This window comes from Homo sapiens, chromosome 15 (assembly GCF_000001405.40).
Source record: "Homo sapiens chromosome 15, GRCh38.p14 Primary Assembly".
NCBI lineage: Eukaryota > Metazoa > Chordata > Mammalia > Primates > Hominidae > Homo > Homo sapiens.
In genome coordinates this window covers 49,871,262-49,883,541 of record NC_000015.10, presented here as the reverse complement: position 1 = coordinate 49,883,541, position 12,280 = coordinate 49,871,262, and the positions used below count along the sequence as shown (strand labels likewise).

The window sequence follows — 12,280 nt, the reverse complement described above, 5'->3', positions numbered from 1 at the left end:
AATGGCACAGAGTAGATGTTTAGTAAATATCAGCTATTTTTATTTCTTTTTGTTATTGTGACACTGAGTGGCAGCAAAACTTCTGAGAATTTGCAGAAACTCATTGAAACCTTACTCTGATTTTTCCTTCCTGTCTTCTCTTGCTCCAGCTGTGAAATGAGTCTTCAAATCTGAGTGCCGGTTGACAAATGCTGATAGTTGTCAAATAAGTGTAGCTTGTAATGCGAGCCCATTTGTGATGATGAGGGCACGCTATGCCAGACTTTCAGCTGTCCACAGTTGAGTACGCCATAATTTCTCAGATTCTTTCTCTCTTCTTAATACCTGGAACAGTCAGATGCCATCATCAATGAGTTGAAGATTTGTGTCAGCTGCTCTGCTTTAAAAAAAAAAAAATGGAAGTGAGTGTAATTCCCAATCTTGGCTTCACATTGGAACTACCTGGGAAAAATTTAAAATGACCAAAACTTAGATCCTTCTCCCAGAGATACTGATTTAATTGGCCTGGGGTGTGGCCTGGGCATCAGGATTTTTGGAATCTTCCTACTCTCTGAAATCTCACTGGGCTATAACTATAAAAGAAGGTCACGTGTTTAATTTTTAAATTTTTTATCATTGGTAAAGTTTAACAAATATATTAAAAAGTATATAAATATCAGCTTAAATTGTTGTGAAATGAACACCCATGTACCATGATCCAGTGCAAGAAATATAACATTTCCAAACACCCAACAGCTCTCCTGCTTTTCCTCGAGACCTCTTTCCAATCCTCTAGAGGTGACCATTACCCTGCCATCTTATAGTCACATTTCTTCTGTTTTATAACTTTACCATATGATTAGGAGTTCCGAAACAACATAGGAATAGATTTTCATACTTTTGCACTGTATTTAAATGCAATTATGCCTTTGCATCTGGCTTCTTTTGCTCAATATTATATGTAGTTTTTATTCATTTGTTTTGGGATATAGTTATAATTCTTTGCTTTTCATTATTCTATAGTATTCTGTTATATCGATACATGATAATGTCTTTATCCCACACTTGAAGGATGTTTTGGTTGTTTTTGTTTGGGGACTATTATGACCAATGCTGCTATGAGTATTTTTATATGTATCCCACTGCACGAAGATAGACATTTGTGAACATATGTATCTAGAAGTAGAGTTGGACACATTCACTCATCAGAAGGAAGATAAAGAGGCTTAGCTGCAGTTTTGGTGGACTCTTGAGGGTAGATAGGAGTTGGATACTGGGACCCTGTCACAACTGCTGCTCTGGGCTGGGACCCTGTGGGGTCGCACTGCTCTGAACCATGTACCTTGGGAATGTTGATAATCTACAGGAGGCAACTGACAGATTGAGCTGTGCCTTCAGTAGTTTCCTGGGCTGAAGGGAGAAGGTTCAGTGCCTATCGAGGGTAGAGATCATGATGAAACCCTTCCTACTCTGGGCTGGGACCCAAAGGCAGCCTCCCAGCAGTGAGGTCACAGACTCTGCCATAGCAGGACAGTTGGCTAGCCCAGAAAATATCAGGCCTTCGTTCTGTCCTCGACAGCTGATAGAAGGAAATAAACATAGAGTCTGGAGAAGGATCGCATTATCCTAGGCCTTGAGATAGTTATTAAGTTCTAATTCTCTTCTTGATCTTGACAAGTCATTCCCCACTGTCTTGTTAGTTCATTGGTACTTTGATGAAGATGCATTTGTTTTTTTCTCAACTTTTTTCGTTATCTTCAGCAGGAGGTTTGGTATGAATCAATTATTATGGCACGTGCCCCCTATCCTGTGTGATAAATTCAGGCTTCTTTCAGATACCTCTGCTAAATACCCAGGGGGGTTCCAGGGAGTGCCAGCCAGCTTTTCCAGTCTGTTCTCATGGTTGCCTGACTAGTGGACTACTGCCCTGCCCTTCTGCAGGTTCTCTCATGCCACATTGAGTGCATTATCCTTCAGGTAGCTGCTGCAGGTTCTCTCATGCCACATTGAGTGCATTATCCTTCACGTGGCTGCAGCTGTCTTGTATCACTTTGCTCCCAGCATGGACCTAGGCTGTGGTATCTTGGAACTGGCCCATACTGATTCACAAGAGCTGATTGTTAAATTTTCATGAATTTTGTGAGCCAGTGGTTAAATACAGCCATTATTAAACGTTATATAAATTTACAATTTAAGTTATATTAAAAATAAAAGACAGTTAATATACTCAAAATGAATCCCTTGCTAATTATTTTCCCATGTTTTACTATTTATGCTCTTGAGATTATATTGGGTCTGTATAGTAGAAATACTATATAATGGTGAGTATGTCTCAACTCCACATTCAGTGGCATCATTGCTTGAAATCAGTCATGGAGGAATATTTATACCATGGAAATTGGCAAATGCTACAAATCAAGGCTTTTTTTTGTTTGTTTGTTTGTTTGTTTTGAGACGGAGTCTTGCTTTGTCACCCAGGCTGGAGTGCAGTGGCGTGATCTTGGCTTACTGCAACCTCAGCCTCTCGGGTTCATGCCACTCTCCTGCCTCAGCCTCCCGAGTAGCTGGGACTACAGGCGCCCGCCACCATGCCTGGCTAATTTTTTGTATTTTTAGTAGAGACGGGGTTTCACCATGTTAGCCAGGATGGTCTTGATCTCCTGACCTCATGATCCACCCGCCTAGGCCTCCCAAAGTGCTGGGATTACAGGTGTGAGCCACCACACCTGGCCGGCTTTTTTTTTTTTTTAGCCTGTTGTTAAACATTTATCAGCATGTCATTGGATATAGTCCCCCTTTCTAAATCCTTACAGCTGGGTTTAGACCACATAATGAAAATAGGAATCAGAGAGTAACAAAGGAGAGTTACCATGAAGAGAACTTAAAATTTGTTATTAGAAATAGTTATTCTGAGTCATAAGCTTTCCCACTTCCACCATTGTCTTCAGTTTCTTCTCAGCATAGCATCCAGAGTAATCCTGTTAAAATATAAATAAGACCAGGTTGCTCCTTTGCTTAAAGTCCTCTAATGTCTTCTACTTTCACTTAGGTAATAAGCCATGTTTAGTTACATAGGATTGTTCTTCTTACCTCCTGACATCCATTATTCTTCCTACAGGTCACTCTGCTCTACCCAACTGGGCCACCTTGCTGTTCTCTGAGCATAGTGGATGCTTTCTTGCCTTAGGGTTGTTTCATGGGGCCTACTTGCAGTATAGAATGCTGCACGTCCCAGCATTTCCAGCTGTTTCAGAAAGCTGCATGTTAGATCCATTTCCTTCAGGTCTTATCTCAAATTCACTTCTCAGTGAGACTTTCTTCAATCTGCTGTATTACAATTACAGCCCTCCCACATTCCCTATCCCCTTTCCTCTCTAGCACTTACTACCTTCTAACTAATTAAGTTGATTTTAATTTTTGCTTTTGCCCATAATAAGCTCTGTAACCGAAAGGTTCTGTTTCCACAACTGTGTGTACTCATAGGCAAAATGGGGATATATGCCTGCTTCACATGCCTCATTGACTTTTAGTGAGGCCCATGCAGGGAATTCTTGTGTAATTAGTCTACAAAGGTGTGAGGGGATATTTTTGTTGTTTTGCTATTTATGCCCATCTTGCTTTAAACCACTCCCCCGCAAAAACCTCTCCATTTTAACACAGGATAGAAATAACAGGCTTATTACTATATTTATCTCTGAAGATTTTAGTGAATCCTTTGTTTACCACTTGGATCAGATAATTGGACTCATTATAAGCCACTGAAAACCTGGAGAATAAAATGGCAACCCACCACAAGGTCAGGGGCTCATACGTGTCCCGCACTATGTTAGGGGTACTGCTGCATGTATTATTTTGTCCTCACTGCCACACTGCAGGAAGGGTATACATCACTTTAGAGATAAAGAAACTGCCGTTTAGAGAGATCTAGTATCCCATTAAGGCACCAGAGCTGATAAGAGGCAGGTCTAGGAAAGAATTCATATTTGTCTGATTCCAAAAGTCAACTCCCACCCACCTCAGAAAACCTGGTTATTTAACCTAAATGTGAATATTCTCACTACTATGGATGATGTTTCTCACTTATATGTTATATTTCTTTTCAGACTGTTTATGACCAGTGGTTCATCACCCTTTTTAACATTGTTTACACATCACTGCCTGTTTTAGCCATGGGGATTTTTGACCAGGTATGTTTTTTTTCCATCTTTATAACTTAGTTTCTCTTTTATGCCTTTTAGTTTTTTGTGGGTTCTAAGTAGAAAACACAATTCTAAGTAGCAGCCCTAGGAATGCAGTTGTTTTAGTTGCTTTTGCATGGATCACACATGCTTCCAGGTCCACTGTGCCTCCCTTACCCCTATACCCTAGCTTCCCCAAAAGCATTATTTGATAAAAGTTGGTTACTCTTCTCTTAGAGGTTCACACCCCATAGATTGCTCTAAAGGCTCTAGAAGTCCTGTACGAAGTAATCTCTTTAACTTCATTTTAACCCAGCATTTCCCAAACTTCTATGACTGTATATGTTTTCATATAGCACCTATTAATTAATATGTCTCAGAACTAGTGTCTGTGGTTCACACACGGGGAAATGCTGCCTTAGCCTCTGAGAGCTTATAAAGAACCATGCAATGATAGAAAATCATGGGGCTAGGTTGGAACACAGGGGGCTAACACCTGCAGTGAGACTCCCTTGTTGCGAACATCTGCAGTGAGACTTCCTTGTTACACACAGCCCAGAACAGGAGCCACAGACCAGTAGAGCAGTCTGCCAGTGGGAGAGGAGGATGAGAAGCTCCATGGCCAAGGAAAGAAAGAGCATGGATTTCTTTTGTCCCAGCATCAATGTGCTTGAGTGGGGAGAAAGGAGAGGATCAATCACAAAAATGGTAGATCCTTGGCATACTCAGAGCCTTGGAAGGGACTTCCTGGAAAGGGGAAAAAGTCTGGCTGCCTGTGGGGAAGTGAAAGACTAGCCAGTGGAATTTCCGTGGCACAATTAGAGTGTCTTATTTTTAAAAAGACTTTTTGTTTTTTAAAAAAGTATTTTTAAGGAGACCACATTTTCTCCAGGCTGTTGTTAGACCTATTTGCTAGGCCTCATTTTCTGGGCCAAAGCCGTCTATTGCAAAATATAAATCTTCACATTATGAGCTCACTCCAGTCTCCCATTTGGCTGGCTTTGTAGTCAGTTGTTAAGTCTCCCTTCTCATATGTAAAAAGGGCAGTTTGCGAAAGGCATATTTTCTGGAATTATACAAAAAAGTAATGAACTTCTGAAGACCTTAGATGTAAAGGATTAAGCACATTCATTTCTCAGCGCCCATGTTTACAAGTGTTTCTTTTCTTGGAGCTTTGTAGCTGCCCAGAATGTGGAATAAAATAATAAAAATAAAGCAGTTTCTGGGAAAAGATGGTTATTGTGCAATTCAAAAAAAATATAATAAGGCTTCCTATTACCATCAAGTTGAGTGTCTGCTCCTCTCTCCTTTCCTGCTTTGTCAACCTTGGCCCTTAAACTGATCACAGGATCGTGGAATGCTATGCTGGACAGGCCTCAGCAATCATCAACAGATCTGCTCATTTTTTAAGGCAGAAACCAAGCCTTGGAGAGTCATTTCCCTAAAGCCACACAGCCAATAAGTGACACGGCTAAGACTAGAACCAGGCCTCTTAACTTTGAGGTTGCTACATTATTGCTATTGTTGTTATTATCATTATTTTATTAATTGTTATTTATAGAAGCATCTGGCATATTTATTACTTACGATGTGGCAAGAACTCTACTAAATACTTTACATACTGGTTTAATCATGGCGATAGTTCCATGTGGGAGGTGTTATTGTTTGCATTTCTGGGCATGAGGAAACCAAGGCTCAGGCGGATTAAGTAACAGGTTTAAGATAACACACCAGCTAAACCCGTTACCAGGGATTGAGCTCATGACTGTCTTGTTTCAAAGCCTGCGCACATAACCCTCAGTCACTGAACTAGGGGAACAAGCATCCAAAAGCATCTAAAAACAGGACTTTCTAAAGAGAATATGCCTGTGTTTTTCCATGGGACTCTGTTTGGAGAGACCTGGGCCATCCCACAAGCAGGAAGGGGAATGTTCCTCTCCCACAATAGTTCACCACCTGTGTTGCTTCCACTTTCGCCTCTTCTCCTCCACCTGTGGTCCTCTGATGTCCCCTGTGGTTGATTCTTGCCATCCTTTTTGGTTTTTGGCATTTGGCTTTGGTGCTCACTGTGGTTATCAGCATTACTTTGGAGCTGGCTGGAAATGCAGTCTTGGGCCCTCAGCCCTATTGAATCACAATCTGTTTCCCAGGCGATTTGTGTGCACATTAGGTTTGATAAGCATTTAGTTTCTCTTGGGACCTGGTTGGTGTCAAATGTGCCACCTTCTCATTCTGTCTATATTCTTTCTTTGTCCTGAACACCTGGTAACTGCTGTTAAAATTCTCACTGGGTAGGATCCTCATCCCAGCCTCCTTCTCACCTGGAATCCCAAATGCAGTTTCCCCTTTTCCCTGCTCTCTTCTTCCTGCTCACTTCCCTCCAAAGTCATGAGCTCTGATTTGACAATTCTGACTCCACAGCTCTCTGCTGTCATCTCCTGGTCACTACCACTCACTACCTTGACAATTAACTTCTGGGGCCCATTGGCTGCACATGATGTGCTGGAATTCTGGGAGCACGAATGCTTCTGACAGCCTGCAGGAGAGTGTAGGAAAGAAACTTCAATTTGAAGCCAAATAGCTAGGCTCAAACCAAGCCCTGGTTCTGCTACTTACGAGCTGTGTGACCTCTCATGAATCTCTCTTGGAGACTCAAGCTCCTTCTCTGTAAAGTAGAGATCATTTTATTATCTTCTGGTTTATTGTGGGAATACAAACAAGATAATGTCCTGTTCTGGCCCAGTGAGTAGTGCATTTTAGGACATGTTTAAACAGGCATTTGCTATTTCTGAAGATAGGGAATACAAGGCCTCTCTGACTCTTTTTAATCCTTCTCCACTGAAATTACACTCTGTTTACAGGATGTGAGTGACCAGAACAGCGTGGACTGTCCCCAGCTCTACAAACCAGGACAGCTGAATCTGCTTTTTAACAAGCGTAAATTTTTCATTTGCGTGTTGCATGGAATCTACACCTCATTAGTCCTTTTCTTCATCCCCTATGGGGCCTTTTACAACGTGGCTGGAGAAGATGGGCAACATATTGCTGACTACCAGTCCTTTGCAGTTACCATGGCCACATCTTTGGTCATTGTGGTCAGTGTGCAGGTAACGCTGTCGGTGTAAGCACCTTAACTTGATGGGTTTACAACTTTTACTATTTCATTGTTGATTGATTTTGTCTACTTGTTGGGGGGAAATAATCCTAAAGGAATACTGGGGCTGTCCTTTTAAGTACACATTTTGAGATGAAAGCAGGAAGCTTTAACATAAATTACTGGGGAGAATTAGCATTAGGCGTCTGTAACATTCATGTTAGTAGAAACCTCACAATGTATCACTTCTTTGGGTTGTGCATTGTATGTAAAGAGAAATGATTATACTATTATTTCCTTCTTGTATTTGAAGAAAAAAAAAATTCCAATAACAGAAGGAGAAACTTTCCCATGATTTCTTTAAGACTTAATAACTGCCAGGTTTTAAAGTGAGATCTAAAGTTTGCTTGGCAATACATTTCTATGGAGTTATTCAAGAGGTTCAATGCTATATCTGTGGCATATCCGAATCTCACACTCAGAGGAGCTCTTCTGGTGGGGATGATTTTTTGAGGTTCCATTGACCTTCTTCCATCTTGAGTTGTGTCTCTATTTCCTTTTTACTGTGAATGTGGTCAATGCCATTAGATACTGAGTTAGAGTTCACAAAAACTTTTATTTCTTGAGAGGAGGCCTTGCTATGTTGCCCAAGCTTGTCTAGAGCTCCTGGGCTTAAGTAATTGCTCACCTTGGCCTCCAGGTGGCTGAGATTATAGGCATGCATCACCGCACATAGTTAGAAAAACTTTTCCTCTATTACTATCTGTAGCTCCGAGTAGGTACAGCAAGCTATGTGACCTCTGTTTTATTTTGTTGTCTTTTGATTACTGAGCAAACTGTTAATAATTAGGTGATCTTCTCTGTCATGAGGGTACATTTCCAATTCTCTGGATTCTCCTTCCATAGAGAAGACAGTGGTGGGGTGTACAGGGACATCTTTTTAGTGGTAACAGCTGATTCACCTCTGGCTCAGACCTGTTCCTCGGTACTCCAAGAGATTATTTGAAAGGTAGTAACTGAAATAAAAGGCCACTATCTGAAGAAGCAGCAAATAGAAAACATTCTTCATACTGTCCTGTTAACATGATCTGTTTATAAGTAAGGGTAATAAATTACCTGGAAGAGTCATTGTAGGTGTGACATGTAACAAGCATTAAATGTTTGTGTGTATGTGTGTGTGCATGTGTACATGGATAGATGTGTGTGTGTGAAACTGGTGTTCACAATTAACCCTACAATTTTTGGTTAACTTAATCTTTATAATTTTAGAAAAAGCCTGCTGTTATGCCCATGCATCTTTTTCTCTTTTTTTTTGCTTGCCCATAATTTGTTTTATGTGCTATTACAATAGTGCCAGTGCCATGTTTTTATATTAACTTTATGTTTAGAAGCTGTTTTTCTCATAAAACATACAGTTCTTATTCCAGTTGAATGTTGAAATCACATTTCTACTTTCTCACAAGTTGAGAGCCCACAGAAACTATCACATTTTAAAAACATTGTTTAGTCACGAAAAAATTACAGAACTTCAAAAGTTTATTTTAAAAGCTTCAAGTGACTTCTTGTCGCTTGAAGTTTTTAAAATAAACTTTTGAAATTTCTAACCCTTGATTATCCAAGTTTTATAAGAATGATATAGAATGATATCCATGTTTTTTCAGAGAGGATTCACACCTTAGGCTCAAAGTAACCATTAGCCCCTCATTCAGGATGTTTTGCAAGAGGAAATCCAAATCCATTTGCTTCAGACCTTAATGGCCATTTGTCTCTTCAAAATCTATTCTCTGCCTTCCATCTCCTCAAGGACAATAGTGGTCCTAGCCATCCCTCCAATCCCATTACTCACACGCCCCAGCCACACTGGCTTTTGTTCTGCTCCTGGAATTCACCAGTCTCTTGCTTGCCTTATGGCTTTGCTCTTTCCTGCCTGGAACATTCTTCTCTCAGTTTCCCTCACATGTCATTTCTTCAGAGGGGCCTCCCTGGATCCATTTAAACTAAGGCCCCTTTATTTTCTCTAGTGGAATAGAAATCAATTATTTTATCTCATAGTTGTCATCTCCCCTTGTAAGTACAAATTTAGTGGTGTGTTCTCTCGTTTAATGTCTTTCTACCTCCTAGAGTGTAACCTTCACGAAGGCAGTGGAAATGTCTGTTAATCGCTGTATACCCAGAGCTGAGCACATCACCTGTTAGTGTGACACACAATGGATATTTCTTGAGTATTGAATAAATGAGGGAGATGTTGAGAGGAAATTCTCCTGCTACTGATCCTGTCATAACAAGAGAGTTCATCTGGGTGTGTCAAGTTCCTAGGAAAGAATCATTATAACTGATGTGTTTACAGATTGTGTTGACAGTTTTCAAATGTGCCCAAAGTTTCCAACCAGTCTGAGAGAGGGTCCTCCTGTGCTGAGTCCAGCAGAATGACCCAGCTGTGAAATGTGGTATGGGGAAAAGTGAGAGATTTTAGATGCCTTCAAAAGCAAGGCAGTGCAGGGAGAGTCAAGTACTGCATGGCCTCAGAAGGTGGGATGTGCTGCGGTCGCCACACCTCCTGCAGCCAGGCAGAAACTTAGGCCATGTATGTACCTGTGGAGCCTCTGCCCTAAAAACACAAAATCCTTTTAGTCTTATTATAAAAGGAATACATTGCAGGAAATTCAAGAAAAGCATAAAAATGCAGGGAAAAATTAAAATTCACATGTAATCACAAATCAGGGTTAGCATGAAAAAAATGGAAATCGGATTATATATATATAATTTTATGTCTTATTTTTTCACTTAACTTTGTGTCACAAGCATTTATCTTATTTATAAAATATTCTTTGAAATATCCCTTTTAATGGCTGTAGTATTCCACCGTATGAATATGCCATAATTTATTCAACCATGTTGCTGTTAGATTGCGTCTACATTTCACTATGGCAAATGATACAATGGCAAAGTTTCATGTAGTACATAATTCTCAGCATGATCCTCTAGTTATTTTCTAAGGTTATCTCCTTAAAGGTGGGAATTCTGGGCTAGAAGACATAAGGAAGTTTAAGGCACTTGACACATATTGCCAAATGGCTTTCCAAATAGATTGTATCATTTTCAGCTGAAGGGTGCAAATTACCCTTCTCAGCAGCCCTTCACTGATTTAGAGTATTACTTTGAATTATTTTATAATTAAAAAATGGATAACCTTTTGTTGCTTGGGAAATAATGAATACATCTTGTTCAAACAGGAATAATTTCTTTAAAAAACTTTTAATTTCGGAATAATTTTAAATTTGTAGAAGAGTTGCAGATACTGCAAAGACAGTTCCTGCATACCCTCACCTAGCTTTTCTCTGATGTTAATATTAACATCTTACCTCACCATGGTGCATTTGTTAAAACTATGAAATTAGCATTGGTATAATACTATTAACTGAGCCACAGATTTGATTCAGATTTCTCCAGTTTTTCCATTAATTACCCTTTTCTCTTCTAGGATCCAATCCAGGATCCAATCCAGGATCCCACATTGAATTTAGTGGTCATGTTCCTTAGTCTCCTCCCATCTCTGACAGTTCTATAGTCTTTGCTTGTCTTTCATGACCTTGACACTTTTGAAGACTGGTCACCAGGTATTTTGTAGAATGTTTTTCAGTTTGGGTTTTCTGATGTTTTTTCTTAGAAATAGACTGAGGTTGTGGATTTGGGGAAAGAATCACAAAGAGTGATGTGTTCTTGTCTCATCTATCAGGGAGCACATGATAGCAACATGATTTATACAGGTGATGCTAATCTTGACTACTTGCTTACAATGATGTTTTTCAGGTTTCTCCACTGTAAGCTGACTATATTTCCCTTTCCATACTCTAGTGCCTAAAAGTAAGTCGCTGAGTCCAACCTACATTCAAGAGAAGGAGAATTAACTTTTACCTCCTAGAGGAAGGAGTATCAAAGAATTAGTGGTTATATGTTAAAACTGTAGCAGGTGTAATTTTAAATAAAATTGCTATAATAGGGGCCCCAAAGGTATAAGGGATTTGCCCAAGATCACACAGTGACAACATTGCAGGTTTAGCACTAAGATCCAACAGTCTGATTTCCCAAGTCGATGTTCTTTAATAAAGGCATCTGTGATTATTCTGTTAAAGATTTGAGGCAAGCATTTCCTACAGCACAATTATTACTGGGCTTTGGGTAGTTAGGCATAGTTGGGAAGCAGTGGAATGTAATCCTCATCATTGCAATGCAGACAGAAAGTCGTGTACTTTAAAAGAGGTGGTGCTGCTTGTCACCCCTCTGTGGCTGGGATCACTTTGCCACGTTACAGGGTTGAAGTTCCCTATACCTTATCCATATACTCCCAGCCCATTGTTTTCTCCCCTACCTAATTTCTCCCTGCCCTCACTCCCAGTCCCACTCCCACCATTAATTCTGAGTGCTTGAGGGCCTAAAACAGCTAGGAGATTGAGGATAACTTTCTGGAGAGGAGGATGAGGTTAGAAAAGATCCAGGCTAGAAATGGTGGCCTAGAAGCAGAATGAGTAGAGGCTTCCAGTGTCTGGCATGCTTTGGTTGCCACTGCATTCCTAACGGAAACCACAGGGCTAAAGAATACAGGGGCAAAGGGATATGAGGAGAGAGGTTGAAATTGAGCAAAGGAAGTGAAAATAATTTGGTTGTGTTATCCACCTATCCTTCAACTCTGTCTGTCTTAACCTAGATGACCAAAGCAGGCCTGTCCTTGATGGCAGCTGTAAGAGACCTGTATCATCATCACCACCATGAGTGATACCATGCATTATACTTGCTCCTCATGATGCCATTATGCAGTAAATATTATGGGCTGCTTTTATAGATAAAGTTCAGAGAGGTTAAATGACTTGCCTGAGGTCACACAGTAAGTCCCAGAGCCAGGAGAATCCAGTTCTGTCTAATTCCAGTGTTATCTGGAACAAAGTCTACAGTGAGACTGGTTAAAACACAAAATTTTCAAGAAATATGAGAACAAACCTTATACTGAGCGTAAAGGAAACACTGGATACTG

The 12,280-nt window shown here is 40.2% G+C and overlaps 1 protein-coding gene and 1 long non-coding RNA gene across 45 annotated transcripts in view; one reads left to right on the top strand and one right to left on the bottom strand.

The window, feature by feature from the left end:
- The window catches only part of ATP8B4 (ATPase phospholipid transporting 8B4 (putative)), a 323,617-nt gene that overhangs the window by 298,313 nt on the left and 13,024 nt on the right, over positions 1-12,280 (top strand). For all 43 annotated transcript variants that reach the window (NR_073597.2, NR_073596.2, NR_073598.2 and 40 more), the window contains 2 exons: positions 4,083-4,166; positions 7,019-7,264. Coding sequence is in view for 40 of the 43 variants with exons in the window: in XM_011522056.4 (XP_011520358.3) it covers positions 4,083-4,166; positions 7,019-7,264 (330 nt within the window). In the remaining 3 variants the exon portion in view is untranslated. The remainder of the gene's footprint in view (positions 1-4,082; positions 4,167-7,018; positions 7,265-12,280) is intronic.
- On the bottom strand, positions 19-6,243 carry LOC102724587 (uncharacterized). Of its 2 annotated transcripts, none has more exons than NR_187946.1 (3): positions 6,114-6,243; positions 2,849-2,957; positions 19-379 (listed from the first exon to the last, which is right to left on the bottom strand). It is a non-coding gene; the product is annotated as an uncharacterized LOC102724587 (long non-coding RNA). The 2 variants fall into 2 exon arrangements; NR_187945.1 differs by having other exon boundaries at positions 19-324.